Below are 16,483 nucleotides of genomic sequence, written 5' to 3' on the forward strand. Positions count from 1 at the left end.
ATGTATGAAGGTTCCAGTTTCTCCACATTCTTACCAACAGTTGTTATACTCTTATTAAATTTTTATTTTTTTATATGGTAAAATACGTACTACTTTAACATGTACTACTTTAACCTTTTTTTTTTTTTGAGATGGAGTCTTGCTCTGTTGCCCAGGCTGGAGTCAGTGGCACCATCTTGGCTCACTGCAACCTTCACCTCCTGGGTTCAAGCAATTCTCATGCCTCAGCTTCCTGAGTAGCTGGGATTACACGTGTGTGCCACCATGCCCGGCTAATTTTTGTAGTTTTAGTAGAGACAGGGTTTCACCATGTTGGCCAGGCTGGTCTTGAGCTCCTATCCTCAAGTGACCTGCCTGCCTCGGCTTCCTGCACCCTGTCTATTTTAGCCATTTTAATTGTGCAACTCAGTGGCATTAAGTACATTCACAATATTGTTTGTATAACAATCACTACTCTCTATTTCTAGTACTTTTTCATTGCTCCAAATAGAAACACTGTACGCTTTATACAATAACTCCTCATTCTCCTTTCTCCCCACTCCCTCTACTTTCTGTCTCTATGAATTTGCCTACTCTAGGTACTGCAGATATGTGTAATCATATAATCTTTGTCCTCTTGTGTCTAGCTTCTTTCACTTAGCATAATGTTTTCAAGGTTCACCCATGTTGCAGCATGTATCAAGATTTCATTCTTTTTCATGATTGAATAATATTCCACATTACCTATATAACACATGTTACTCATTCATCTGCTGATGGACACAAGTTGTTTTCCCCTTTTGGCTATTGTGAATAATACCATTATGAACATTGGTGCAAAATATCTGTTTGAGTTCCTGCTTTCAATTCTTTTGGGTATATACCCAGAAGTGGGATTGCTGGATCACATGGTAATTCTATGTTTAACTTTCTGAGGAGACGCCAAACTGTTTTCCACAGCAGCTGCACCGTTTTACATTCCCACGAGCAACGCACAGGAGTTCCAATTTCTCCACATCCTTGCCAATACTTGTTATTTTTGATTCTAGCCATCCTAGTGGGTGTGAAGTGGTATCTTATTGTGGTTTTGATTTGCATTTTCCTGATGGCTAATGATGTTGAGGATCTTTTCATGTGCTTATTAGCCATTTGTATACCTTCTTCAGAAAAATGTCAATTCAAATCCTTTGCACATTTGAAAGTGATTTTTAAAAAATCTTCTAATTTGAGTTGTAATACTTTTTTATCTATTCTGAATGCAAGTCTCTTATCAGGTATATAATTTGCATATGTCGTCTTTTCACTTTCTTGATGGTATTGTTTGAAGCACAAACGTTTTTAATCTTGTTGAAGGCCAGTTTATTTTTTCCTCTATTGCTTATGCTTTTGGTGTCTTATCTAAGAAATCATTGCTTACACCAATGTTGTGAAGATATACTGTTATGTTTTCTTCTAAGAATTTTATAGTTTTAGCACGTATAAAAAGGTCTGTGATCTATTATGAGTTAATTTTTGTGCATAATGTAAGGGTCCTAACTAATTCTTTTCCGCATAGATATTAATCTATCTATGTTTGTGTATGGTGAGGCTTCCCGTAATAAAACCTTAAGAAAAGGCAGGCTGAGCATGGTGGCTCACGCCTGTAATCACAACAGTTTGGGAGGCCAAGGTGGGTGGATCGTTTGAGGTCAGGAATTTAAAACCAGCTTGGCCAACATGATAAAACCCCGCCTCTATTAAAAACACAAAAATTAGCTGGGCTTGGTGGTGGATGCCTGCAGTCCCAGCTACTCGGGAGGCCGAGGCAGGAGAATCACTTGAACCTGGGAGGCAAGGTGGCAGTGAGCAGAGATCGCACCACTGCACTCCAGCCTGGGCAACAGAGCGAGACTTTGTCTCAAAGGAAAAAAAAAAAAAAAAAAAAAGAAAGAAAGAAAAGAAAAGAAAAGGCATTGAAAAAAAGTTACATACTAGGTAGGAACTGCTTTTCATTGCTAATGACTTCTACCTAAATAAGAGTGTTTTTAGCACTCTTACGTTTGGTTTTTAAATTTATTCACTTTAAGTAAAAGAAGTTCAGAAGTAGGCAGAGCTGATACGGCCATTCTATTCTATCTATAATTGTTATTGACCCAGAATCCTACTATCTGTTTGTTGCAACATTCCTACATGTGGCATCTATCCTCAAGGTTACCATGGTCACAATGTAGTAGCTGGAGCACCAGCAACACCTTTGCATTCTGAGCAGGAAGAAGAAAAGTTAAAAAAAAAAAAAAAAAGCCGGGGGTTGGGGAGCGGTGAGAAGGAGAGTCATCCCTTTGAACAACTTTTCCCCGAAGCTAATTTAAAGACTTGAGTTTCTTTCTTTTTCTTTTTTTCTTTTTTTTTTTTTGACAGAGTCTCGCTCTGTCGCCCAGGCTGGAGTGCAGTGGTGCAATCTCGGCTCACTGCAAGCTCCGCCTCCCGGGTTCACACCATTCTCCTGCCTCAGCCTCCTGAGTAGCTGGGACTACAGGCGCCCGCCACCATGCCTGGCTAATTTTTTGTATTTGTTTTAGTAGAGATGGGGTTTCACCATGTTAGCCAGGATGGTCTCGATCTCCTGACCTCATGATCCACCTGCCTCGGCCTCCCAAAGTGCTGGGATTACAGGCATGAGCCACCACGCCCGGCCTTTAAACACTTGAGTTTATAACCCATTGGCTATTCCCGTAGTAGGGAGGCTGGGTACATTAACATATTCATCAGTACAAGGGTCCTAACATTAAATTAAATGAGGATGCATGGTGGATATCAAGTAGCCAAGGCAGCTGGCTGTGGTGCAGGGTGCCACTTGGCCACCCACTACCGATTTTTAGTCCTCTTAGTGGCAAATAGGATTGTGGGATTAGATGAGCCAAGTATTGCTAGAGCTTCCAAGTTCTAGAGACTTGAATTCTACATTTAATATAAACTCTCCAGATTTTTCAATGCTGGTAACCAATCCAAAAAAACAAAAGTTTAACCTTGTCTGGGCCAAACACAGTACTTCTGTGGCCCGTGTTCCACCTCGTGCTGCCTGGTGACATCCTCTGCTTTTGGGTGAACATTAGAGCTCTTGAGACACCTGAAGGGCCCAGGAGTGGTATTACAATTCCCCTGTGTGGCTCCGAGCCAGTGGGTAGAAGTCACGAGGAAGTAGATCTTGGCTCAACTTTAGGAAGAACTCTATCTGCAGAGCTGTCAAAAACAGAAGGAGCTGCCTGGGGAGGTAGGAAGCTCTCTGTTGCTAGAGGTGTTTGAGCAGATGCCAGAGAAGAACTTGGCAATGATTTCTAAGGTCCTCCCAACCCCAAGAGTCTCTGAGGCTATAAGAAAATTACTGTGATGACTACTGCTGCTTCGATGACTCACTGAAAGGAGGATCCTGCAGGAGGCAAATGGAGGATGAGACGCCACACATCTGGATTGTTAAGGAGCTAGCAACCCACCAGCTGTGGTGTCCTACCCTGCAAATGACAAGGCAAAGGGAAATGGGAAATGCCCTCACCGTGGGGATGACCTCTATTCAACGTAGCCTGTAGGGTAGCAAAGAGTTCTTTCCCAAATATTTACAAGCACGATTTGATTCATCTCCATGCACTGCATAGGGATACACAACAGATACGTAGCTTTTCTTATGCAGGATGATTCAGGTTACTAAACTACACTCCTTTATTTACTCCTGCTTTCAGGGCTGGCTTTCTGGTATGCGACCTGTGCAGGTGTAGAGGGCCCTGCATGCAGAAGGACCTGATGCTTGGTGTAATGCTCCGCTGTTACCATCTTAAAATTCTCAGTTTTGAAAAAGGGGTCTCATATTTTCATTTTTCCCTGGCCCCTGCAGTTATGCAGTGGGTACTCCACACTTTTACTCAAAATGTATTCAGTGTAGAAAATGCGAAGCACTGGGGGCCGGGCCCACTCTGTCACCCGAGCTGGAGTGCAATGGTGTGATCTCAGCTCACGGCAACCTCTGTCTCCCAGGCTAAAACAATCCTCCCGCCTCAGCCTCCTGAGTAGCTGGGACCATGGTCGCGTGCCAGCGTGCCAGCATGCCCAGCTAATTTTTGTCTATTTTGTAGAGATGGGGTTTCACTATGTTGTCCAGGCTAGTCTTGAACTCCAAGGCTCAAGCCTTCCGCCTGCCTCAGCCTCCCAAAGTGCTGGGATTACAGGCATGAGAAAATTTATATCTTTCAGGCCACTGCATTATGGGAGTTTTTCGTTAGCCTACTTGACCAAATACAATAAACAAACAGGAGTTAATTAAGCGAAAAAAAGGAAGAGAAGGCAGACTCCAAAGTGCCCAGTCCAGGGAGAACGTGGCATATTCAGGGAACTGGGAATGGTTCAAGATGCTTGACACTCTGGCTGCGGGAGGGAGAGTGGTGACTTAGTCAGCTCAGGCTGCTATAACAAAACACCATAGACCGGGGAACTTAAACAACAGACATTTATTTCTCTCTCTCTCTTTTTTTTTTTTTTTTGAGACAAAGTCTTGCTCTCCTGCCCAGGCTGGAGTGCAGTGGCGTGATCTTGGCTCACTGCAACTTCCACCTCCCAGGTTCAAGTGATTCTCTTGCCTCAGCCTCCCAAGTAGTTTGGACCACAGGCACCTGCCACCACACCTGGCCAATTTTTGTATTTTTAGTAGAGATGGGGTTTCGCCATGTTGGCCAGGGTGGTCTCAAACTCCTGATTTCAGGTGATCCACCCACCTCGGCCTCCCAAAGTGCTGGGATTACAGGCGTAAGCCACGGTGCCCAGTCCAAACACTTATTTCTCACAGTTCTGGAAGTCCAAGATCAAGGTGCAGACAGATTTTGTTCTTGATGAGGGCCTTCTTCCTGGCTTGCAGATGGCTGCCTTCCTGCTATGTTCTCACATGGTGGAGAGAGGGATGGAGGGTGAAGGGAGGGAGGGGAGGGGAGGGAGGGGTCTGTTGTCTCTTCTTCTTTTTATGAGGGCACTAATCTCATCTTGAGGATCCCCACCCCCACTCCAAATACCATTACATTGTGATTTAGGACTTGGAACACATGAATTTTGGGAGGACACAGACATTCAGTCCATAACATGTGGGCCATGTCACCAAGAACCTTGGATGCCAGGCATGGAGCCTGGATATCATCCACTGGACTGTGGGAAATCAAGTCGGGCACTGACATCCTTTTTGTTTTGCCAGCTTGGGTTGCAACCTGTGCTAAGGTTTGCTATGGTTTACATATTTGTCTCCTCCAAACCTCATGTTGAAATTTGATCCCTATTTTGGAGATGGTACCTAATGGGAAGTGCTTGGATCATGGGGTTTGGTGCCATTCTTGAGGTAGTGAGTTCTCGGTCTCATGAGATTGCACTTGGGGAGGGGGGTGTGTTATGAAGCCAGGATGCCCTTCAGGTTTAGTTTCTCTTCTTAAACGTCTGCTTCCGCTTTGACCTTCTCTGCCACATTTTAACTCAGCACAGAAGCACTCTCCAGAAGCCAAGCAGATGCCGACACCATGTCTCTTGTACAACCTGCAGAAGTGGAAGCTGAATAAACCTACTTCTTTAGAAATTATTCTGCTTTGGGTATTCCCTACACAAAATGGACTAAGACAAGCTGCAGATTTTAAAATGTATGAAATGTTTCATAAGACTGGCTAATAATACAATGAGCGCTCATGCACCCACCACCTAGCTTGAAAAACACATTGCAGATAAAGTCTCCAGCATTTCTTTCCTGATCCCATCTTCAGCTGAGTTTTTTTTTTTTAATTTTTTTTTATTTAGACAAAGTCTCGCTCTGTCACTAGGCCAGAGTGCAGGGGCACTATCTCAGCTCACTGCAACCTCTGCCTCCCGGGTTCAAGCGATTCTCCTGCCTCAGCCTCCCAAGTAACTGGGACTACAGGCGCATGCCACCACGCCCAGCTAATTTTCATATTTTTAGTAGAGATAGGGTTTCATCATGTTGGCCAGGATGGTTTCGATCTCCTGACCTCGTGATCCGCCCACCTTGGCCTCCCAAAGTGCTGCGATTATAGGTGTGAGCCACTGCGCCTGGCCACTTCTGCTGAGTTTTTAACTTTATTTTGTTTTGCTCTGTTTTGTTTGTTTGTTTCTTTTTTCCTTTCTTTTCTTTCTTTTTTTTTTGAGATGGAGTGTCGCTCTGTCGCTCTGTCTCCCAGGCTGGAGTGCAGTGACGCAATTTCAGCTCACTGCAACCTCCGACTCCTGGGTTCAAATGATTTTCCTGCCTCAGCCTCCCAAGTAGCTGGGACTACAGGTGCCAGCCACCATGCCCAGCTAATTTTTGTATTTTCAGTAGAGACGGGGTTTTGCCAAGTTGGCCAGGCTGGTCTCGAACTCCTGACCTCAGGTGATCCACCCGCCTTGGTCTCCCAAAGTGCTGGGGTTACAGGCATGAGCCACCACGCCCAGCCTGTTTGTTTGTTTCTTAAGGGCACTTGGAAAGGGCAAAGTGGAAACAGGACATACATCATTGAACCTCTCATATGTCCTCAATATTTTGCCAGGTACTGTGATGTATACATATGGAAGAAGCAGCCACAGCCAGGTAGAAAACAACAACAACAACAACAACAACAAAACCCCAACCTTTGTGCTTTCCCAGAATGCATTGACTCTTTCCTGAGACCAGCTGGGGCATGCTCAGAGGGGCACCATGTTTCTGGATGTGAGGTGATGGAATATTTGCACTGAGTCTCTAGCCATTACCCACTTCTGCTGACTCATGTGCGGATAAATGGCACAGTCCAAATAAATTTGAAATATGTGTCTGGAAGTTTTAAAGTTCTGAGAAGGACATTGAAGGATTTGGGGCCGTTCCATCTTTTCATCTGGCTGATGGCTGCGACTTTGGGGAGAAGAGAAAAGATGTTGGGAGTGAGCAGCTGGTGAGCAAAAGATGTTGATGGTGTTGGTGAGGATTTCATTTCCTGGGCCAGAGCCCAAGATGCTAGAGTACAAGGCTACTGGCAAAACACAGAGAGTACCGCAAAGTCGGGGAAGAATGTGCTGGGCAGATTACCCAATGACATCAAAGGACACTTAAAAGATTTCTGTGGGCTACATAGTAAACAGCTGTTGTTTTTGTCTGCTCAGCATTCTTTTGCCATCTTCTTTTAATAACCTCTTTATTTCTGAAGGAAAACCAGGCATTTTCATAGTCTATGCAGCTGAAGAGGGTCGACACATCCTTTGGCTTCATGGGTGAATATGCAACTTGGTAAGAGTCTATCAAAATCTCAGTGATTTATTCAGAGGTGGACACGTGACTCAGCCTGGACCAATGAGAGTTTTCTCTGGGACTTTGCTCAAATGATTAGGAATGAGATATGCTTTCTTAGAGTTGTTACGATGATAGCTAGCGTGAGACCGAGCTCGAATGAGACTGAGAATGAAATGAATACAGCAGAAAGCTGAGTCTAATGATGGAGAGACAGAAATTCCTGAAAACATTAGGGCACTTGGATTTAGCCATGTCTGAAGCTAACCGTACCTCTTGGACTTTTTAGTTATGTGAATCTATACCTTTAAATTCTCTCTCTCCCATCAATCTGGTTTAATGTAATTTCAGTTTGGTTACTGTAATGTACAATGATAGTTGAGAAAATGTAAAACAGTCTTTGTGATTAGAAAGAAACAGGATGAGTCAGGCGCGGTGGCTTATGCCCGTAATCTCAGCACTTTGGGAGGCCGAGTCGGGTGGATCACTTGAGGTCAGGAGTTCGAGACCAGCCTGGCCAACATGGTGAAACCCCATCTCCACTAAAAATACAAAAAATTAGCTAGGTGTGGTGGTGGGTGCCTGTAGGTCCCAGCTACTCGGGAGGCTGAGGCAGGAGAATTGCTTGAACCGGGGAGGCAGAGGTTGCAGTGAGCCCAGATCATGCTACTACATTCCAGCCTTGGCAACAAGAGCAAAACTCTGTGAAAGAAAGAAAGAGAAAGAAGAAAGAAAGGAAGAAAGAAAGGAAGGAAGGAAGAAGGAAAGAAAGAAAGAAAGAGGAAAAGAAAAAAAAGAAAAGAAAGATACAGTGCCCAGTTATTCTTGGGCAAAAATAAAGGCAACAGGATGGGAACTTTATTTATGGTCTTACACATCCATCTCCCAGTGCAAAGGGTGTGGGGGAAATGGATAAGGTAAGATGTTCATACTACTGAAAGAAGAAGAAAGCTATAATTTCATTAGCATCATTGCTACTTAGGAGGGGAATCATAACTGGAAAGTGACAATGGAAGGATGTATTTTATTTGAAAGATGCAAGTCCAATAGAAAGGGAATATTGTATAGCATTATCTGTGAGGAAGTTACTAAGTGGTCTGCCTGTCAGTATGGAAAGCTTTGGGGTCAGGAATAGGGAGGACAACCACAGAAACAAGACTCCACCCAACATGGGGCCAGAGGAAGCCTGGAGAAGATGCTTTCCTAACACACATCCCCAAGCCATGAAAGAGTTTCATTAGGAATTCCAGTTATGCAGACATAAGCTGGAATTCTTCTTTTGCTAAAGTTTAGAACATCTGATAAATTATTATCTTACTTTGCTAACAGTTTCTCAGAACACGGAAGTAGCAATGGAGTAAGCTGTTCTGTTTTCCTTTCTTTTAAAAACTATATTTTTCCCTTGAACATAAAAGAAAGACATACTTCTGGTGGAAGATTCGATAATACAGTGGTGACACTCATACATCTATTCCTCAAAGATAAGCAATTGGATTTGTACTGTGTGCCGGATGTTGGCTAAGTATTTAATAAATAGGCTCATTTAATCTCTACAGCATTAAGAGGTGCATTCTTGTATGATCCTTAGTTTGTGGATAAGAAGACTGAGGTTTAGTAAAGCTAAAAAAAAATTCTCTGAGATCACAGAGCCAAGTTGGTGCTAGAGCCAGGATTTGAACTAAGCCATCTGGGCTCTTAACCACTATACTACATTCTGTATTTGTGCTTCCACCTACATAAATTCCTTGTTATAGTGTATATTTATAATTTTGTAGCCTGTTTTTCCCTTTCACTTAATTTTATAATATAGGCAATTTCCCATTTTGTCAAAAACTCTTAAATTTTAAAAATTAAAATATTTATACTTATGTAAAGTAGACTACTCTAAGGGATGCCTATGGACCTATCACAGCTTCAACAATTACCAAACAGTCTTGTTTCCTCTATCCACTCCTCACTCTATTATCTAAAGCAAATTGCAGACATTGTACCATTTTATCTGTAAATATATCAATATGTAATTTTAGTTATTCCTTAATATTCTGAGGTATCCAATCTGTGCTCGAACTTTCCAGATGTAAACATTATTGTAAATGTTATTCTAAATTTGGTTCTGAGGATACTTACGGAAGAATTGGTGGGTGATGTGGAAGTATTAGAAGCTTTGAGCCAAAGTGACCCTGTCACTTTGGAGTTTGCAGTAGCAAACAAACAGAAAACGCTGCACTGCACAATGAGGAAACCAGATTTCCAGAAGTTCAGTAGAAAGAAAGATGTACAATTCCACCTAGAACTGTATTGTTCCACGTAGTGGCACCAGTCATATGTCACTATTTACATCAAAACTAATGAAAATTAAATAACATTTAAAATTCAGTCCCTAAATAACCACATGTGGCTTGTGGCTATCATATTAGATAGTGGAGATATAAGATATTTTATTTTATTTTATTCTGTCTTTTTTCTTTTTTTGAGACAGGGTCTCGTTCTGTCGCCCACGCTGGAGTGCAGTGGCATGATCATGGTTCAATGTAGCCTCGACTTCCTGGGGCTCAAGCAATCCTCCCACCTCAGCCTCCTGAGTATATGGGACTACACAGGCATGCACCACCATGCCTGGCTAATTTTGTTTATTTTTTATAGAGATGAGATCTCACTGTGTTGCCCAGGCTGGCCCCAAACTCCTGGACTCAAGTAATTCTCCTGCTTCTGCCTCCCAAAGTGCTAGGATTACAGGCATGAGCCACCATGCCTGGCTGATATAAGATATTTTCACCATCACAAAAAGTTCCATTGAATGTAGCTGGTCTAGACTTTAAGAAGGAATAGTATTTGCAAGAGGCAGGAGATTCCTACACAAAAAATGTCTGCATTTGTGATTGTCAAAGGGCTTGAGGAGTGCAGCTGCCACTCTGATCACAGAGGCCTCTGATCAGCTTAGCATTCAAGAGGAGGTGGAGCACACAGCTCAAGTCTCATTGCTTATTTATTTATTTAACTGCTTTAATTGAACAGGCCCCACTTAGCCATGTGCCAACAAGAAGTTTGCGTTATTTTTGTAACTCACTTCCTTTTTGCTAAAAAATCCCTTTTCACACTCAGCAGCGGAAAAACTGAAGTTAGCCCAGTCTTATAAATACCAGCCCTGTCCAGTCATTTCCAGTTTAAAATAGTTTCATTTCGAGTAAACATTTCACGCCGTTCAGGTATTTTTATCCTCCACCACTGTCTGGTTCAGAACCCCACTCCGAGCTTGGGCATCAGAGGAGAGCTTTGTCCTTTGCTGTCTCTTCTCTTCCTCCTTGCAGCCCCTCAATAGCTGCTCCAAGTGTCCCCTAGTGGGAAGTGGAGAAGGGAGACCTCTCCTTTCTTGGCCAGGCCACGTTTCTCTATCTGACTGGGTCCTCAGTGTTATTTGGTTGCTTGATTGGCTCTACCTAGGTGATGTCCCAGGTAGGATTCTGCTGTGATGTCATGCTCAGTATAAGTCGTGGCCCAGGTGATGTGTCTCTGTCCAAGGTCCTAAGCCCAGTGGACCTTCAAAGGCTAGTGGCCACGTTTTCAGAGCCGCAGCCACTCTAACTCCCATCAAGCAATTCCCTTTCTTACTCAACTGGCGTAACTATCCTGAGTTACCCAACTTTACCTAGTTCATGGTGGAAACTTCATAGGCCCCCTTCTATGATGTTCCAGAGGATGCGGTATGATACTTGTTGTGCCCAGATGTGCCACCCCACAACTGCTCACACAAGCTTCATGCTGGGCTCCACTATAGTTGAGTTGACAACTATTAATATGTACTTTAAGAAAATGAAGGAGTATGTGCTCTGGGTTTCAGACTCTCTTCTACCTCATAGGCACTTCCCTTGGAGTTCTCCAATTTTGAGGGACAGGTCAAGGGTCCCCGTAGCACATGATTGACGATATAATTACTTCAGAAGGAATCTTGCTCCCTCTCAAAGATGAGCCCTTATCCCTTCTTGTCCTCTCTTCTTTTTCCTTATCTCTTCCTGGTGCTAAAAGCAACTAACCCAGTTTAGATGTGTATTTTGGTATCTATTTTTGAAAGGCCAAATTACTCCAAGACGTAGCCACTTAAAACAACTTTTATTATCTCTCACAGATTCTGAGGATCTGGAATTTGGGTGTGGCCAACCCGAGTGGTTCTAGCTCAGGTCTCTTATGTGGTCACAGTCAGGATCTCAGCTGGGACTGCATTATCTGAAGGCTTGACTGAGGCTGGAGAATCCACTTCCAAGATGGCTCACTGACATGGCGGTTGGCGGGAGGCTCCATTCCTTACCACATGGACATTTCCCTAGGGCTGTTCACAACGTGGTAGCTGGCTTCCCCCAGAGCGACTGATCTGACAGGGAGAGGACAATAAAAATGGAAGTCAGAGTGGGTTTAGTGCGGGGTTGACTGTATTTTTTAATCTAGTTCTGGAGAAAAGATGCTATTTTTTACAGTTTTTTTGATTTTGGCTTCCTTCTAACATTTCCTTTTATCCTTGAATTTTTACTAAATAATTTCCTCCTGATTTAAAATTTTTTTTCTCTTCTGGGAATTTGAAATCTTGGTACTTACTATTACATTAATTTTTCCAAAGAGTTGAAATCATTTTAATGCCAGAACATGGTAAATTTGCAGCCATTTCAAGCAGCTGGTGGTCTTTTTTATAACATCATTAATGGGTACTATTAAATATTCTGAGAGGTGAATGTAAAATATAAAAGGTATAAGTTTTTTTTTTTAAATAAAACAATAAGCCTTCAAAGAGAAAACAAACAAAAACAAAAAAAAACCCTAGTCTCATAAGTGACATACCATCACTTCTGCCTTGCTGGGCTGGTCTCACCGACCATCTGGATGCAACATGGAAGGGGTTACACAGGGGGATGGGGGATGGATAACAGGAGGTGGGGATCCTTGAGGGCCATGGAGGCTGGCTACCACAAGGAGGTTCATAGATTGTGGGAATCTAACCTGGGAGTAGAGATCCTTTTTAGCTTTGTTGTTTAGAATTTAGCCAAGCTGTTTTCAGTGAGCATGAGCTTTTCCAGGGAAGACCCAGAAAGGGTCTGAGTCTTTGCTCTTGTATTTATAAAAGCACATTTTCTTTTTACTATCACACAAGTCATATGTATGAATTGTAGAAAAAGAAAATAATAGAGAAAAGTAAAAAGCAAAAGGAAGTAATCCGTGTAGTCCACCATTCAAAAGTAAGCTCTGACAACATTTTGGTGTATATTTTTACAGAATTCTCTATGTTCATTCATAAATGCTAATTGCAATTATTTATTTATTTTTATTTTTATAGAGATGAAGTCTTGTTATGTTGCCCGGGCTGGACTCAAACTCCGAGGGCCAAGTGATCCTCCCAACTCAGCCTCTTGATTGCTGGGACTATAAAAATTTTCCACCACACCTGGCATTAACAACTATTTATTGAACATCTCTTATGTGTCAGTAATGCTACTTCCAAGAACTTACTTAAGGAAATATTCAAGGCCATGGGAAAACGTCTACAACCACTTTATCCCAATGTGTTTACTCAATAACCTTGATGTCATTTTATCTTTGTTTGTAGTTCAGCCTTAAAACTATTTTTCTTTATGGTTCCTGGCTCACAAAATTTTTATCTAAATCTAATATTACATAAATTAATTTTAAGAAGTAGGAATTTAAAATTTTTTTCCTTGCAGACAGAAAATGTATAATTATGGCTATTCTCTTCTATAGCTACACTTTTCATCACTGTTTTTTCTGTTTGTTTCTTTTCTTTGAATATTAGAAGAATTTTTCAAGTAGGGCTCCTATGCATGAATCTTTATCTTTTTTTTGTTTTGTTTTTTGTTTTTGAGATGGAGTCTTGCTCTGTCACCCAGGCTGGAGTGCAATGGTGCAATCTCGGCTTGCTGCAGCCTCTGCCTCCCGGGTTCCAGCGATTCTCCTGCCTCAGCCTCCTAGGTAGCTGGGATTACAGGCGCACGCCACCACGTCCGGCTCATTTTTGTATTTTTTAGTAGAGATGGGGTTTCACCATGTTGGCCAGGCTGGTCTTGAACTCTTGACCTCAGGTGATCCGCCTGCCTTGGCCCCCAAAAATGTTGGGATTACAGGTGTGAGCCACCGTGCCCGGCCGAATCTTTATCTTTAAAAAACTTTGCCAGGTGCAGTGGCTCATGTCCATAGTCCCAGCACTTTGAAAGGCCAAGGTGGGCAGACTGCTCGAGCTCAGGAGTTGGAGACCAGCCTGGGCAACATGGTGAAATCCTGTGTACACACACACACACACACACACACACACACACACACATACACGCACACAAGCTGAGTTTGGTGCTCCATGCCTGTAATCCCAGCTATTTGGGAGGCTGAAGTGGGAGGATCGCTTGAGCCCAGGGGGTTGAGGCTGCAGTGAGCCATGATGGTACCACTGCACTCCAGCGTGGGTAACAGAGTGAGAACCTGTCTCAAAAAAAATTTTTTTAAATGCTTTTCTCAAGGTTTAATTAAATAATTAAAATACACAAAATAATATTTATAACATATGTATAAGGAATAAGCTACCATTATCAGCTTAAAAAATCAAACACTTCCAGCATCTTAGAAGCCTTCTCTTCCTTTCTGGTGATTACTATCCTGAGTTTTGTGCTTATCATCCTCTTGCATTTCTTGATATATATGAACACACATATGGCCTGTGTATCCTTATAAAATACCTTGTTTGTTTGTTTGTTTATTGAGATGGAGTCTTTCTGTGCACCCAGGCTGGAGTGCAGTGGTGCAGTCTCAGCTCACTACAACCTCCGCCTCCCGGGTTCAGGTGATTCTCTTGCCTCAGCTCCCAAGTAGCTGGGATTACAGATGCCTGCCACCACACCCAGCTAATTTTTGTATTTTTAGTAGAGACAGATTTTCACCACGTTGGCCAGGCTGGTCCCGAACTCCTGACCTCAGGTGATCTACCTGCCTCTGCCTCCCAAAGTGCTGGGATTACAGGTGTGAGCCACCACGCCTGGCCTTTTCTTTTGGATATATGCACAGTAGTGGGATTGCTGGATTATATGGTAGTTCCATTTTTAGCTTTTTGAGAAAGCTCCTTACTGTTTTCCGTAATAGCTGTACTAATTTACATTCCCACCAACAGTGCATAAACGTTCCCTTTTCTCTATCTCCTCATCAGCATTTGTTATTTTTTGTCTTTTTCATAATAGCCATCCTAACTAGAGCGATATATGATCTTACTGTGGTTTTGACTTGCATTTCCCTGATGATTAGTGATGTTTAGTTATGCAAAGTTTTCCCTTCTGTAAATAACATCAATTTGTATATGCTCTCCTGTGAATTGCCCCCCACCCCAATTATGTTTGTGAGAGTCATCCTTATTGATGGGCATGGGTGCAGTTAATTCCTTTTTGTTTTCTTTTGAGATGGAGTCTCGCCCTATTGTCCAAGCTGGAGTGCAATGGCGCGATCTCGGCTCACTGCAACCTCCGTCTCCTGGGTTCAAGTGATTCTCCTGCCTCAGCTCCTGAGTACCTGGGATTACAGGCATGCACCAACACGCCCGGCTAATTTTTTTTTTTTTTTGTATTTTTAGTAGAGATGGGGTTTCACCATGTTGGTCAGGCTGGTCTCAAACTCCTGACCTCGTGATCCACCTGCCTCGGCCTCCCAAAGTGCTGGGATTACAGGGGTGAACCACCACGCCCCGCCAGTTAATTCCTTTTTACTGTGGTATAATATTTCATTGTATAAATGCACCACATTGTGTCAGTTCTGTCCATGGATATTAAGACATTTCTGAGTTCCAGCAATTACGAACAATACTTCTGTAAACATTCTAGAAGATGTTATCTGGTGCACACATGCAAAGATTTCTCTAGAGCAGTCATTGCCAAATTGGCTGCACATTGGAATGATGTGAGGATCTTCAAAAACTATTGACAGGTGGTTCACACCCCCAGGACATTCTGATTTAATTGGTTCAGAGTCTAACTTTGGTGTTTGGATTTTATTTGATTTTTTTCAAACACATTTATTTTTTTCAGAGACAGAGTCTTGCTATGTTGCCCAGGCTGGTCTCAAACTTCTGGACTCAAGTGATCCTCCTGCCTTGGCCTCCCAAATTGTTAGGATTACAGGCATGATCCACTGCACCGGGCCAAGTCTGGATTTTAAAAAGCATGGGATTGGCCAGGCGCAGTGGCTCACGCCTGTAAACCCAGCACTTTGGGAGACTGAGGAGGGTGGATCACCTGAGGTCAGGAGTTCAAGACCAGTCTGACCAACATGGAGAAACCCCATCTCTACTAAAAATACAAAATTAGCCAGGCGTGATGGTGCATGCCTGTAATCCCAACTACTCAGGAGGCTGAGGCAGGAGAATTGATTGAACCTGGGAGGTGGAGGTTTCAGTGAGCCGAGATCGTGCCATTGCACTCCAGCCTGGGCAACAAGAACGAAACTCTGCCTCAAACAAAAACAAAAACAAAAACAAATGAAAACCATCAAAAAGTGGGCAAAGGATATGAACAGACATTTCTCAAAAGACGACACTTATGCGGCCAAGAGACATATGAAAAAAAGCTCATCATCACTGGTCATTAGAGAAATGCAAATCAAAACCACAATGAGATACCATCTCATGTCAGTTAGAATGGCGATCATTAAAAAGTCAGGAAACAACAGATGCTGGAGAGGATGTGGAGAAATAGGAACGCTTTTACACCATTGGTAGGAGTGTAAATTAGTTCAGCCATTGTGGAAGACAGTGTGGCAATTCCTCAAGGATCTGGAACCAGAAATACCATTTGACCCAGCAATCCCATTACTGGGTATATACCCAAAGGATTATAAATCATTCTACTAAAAAGACACATGCACACGTATATACACATGCACATGAAATATAAAGACACATGCACCCAAAGGATTATAAATCATTCTACTATAAAGACACATGCATGCATACGTTTATTGCAGCACTGTTCACAATAGCAAAGACTTGGAACCAACCTGAATGCCCATCAGTGATAGACTGGATAAAGAAAATGTGGCACATATACACCATGGAATACTATGCAGCCATAAAAAAGGATGAATCCATGTCCTTTGCAGGGATGTGGATGAAGCTGGAAACCATCATTCTCAGCAAACTAACACAGGAACAGAAAACCAAACACTGCATGTTCTCACTCATAAGTGAGAGTTGAACAATGAGAACATATGGACACAGGGAGGGGA

General features: G+C 42.7%; 1 annotated feature.

The window, feature by feature from the left end:
* Positions 10,383-10,432: a silencer, noted in NCBI's record as "silent region_8200". NCBI's record gives its function as "represses an Ori minimal core promoter by ATAC-STARR-seq in GM12878 lymphoblastoid cells {active_cell/tissue: GM12878}" and the evidence as "EXISTENCE:reporter gene assay evidence [ECO:0000049][PMID:35858748]".

The sequence above is a fragment of the Homo sapiens genome, chromosome 17 (genome assembly GCF_000001405.40).
Source record: "Homo sapiens chromosome 17, GRCh38.p14 Primary Assembly".
NCBI lineage: Eukaryota > Metazoa > Chordata > Mammalia > Primates > Hominidae > Homo > Homo sapiens.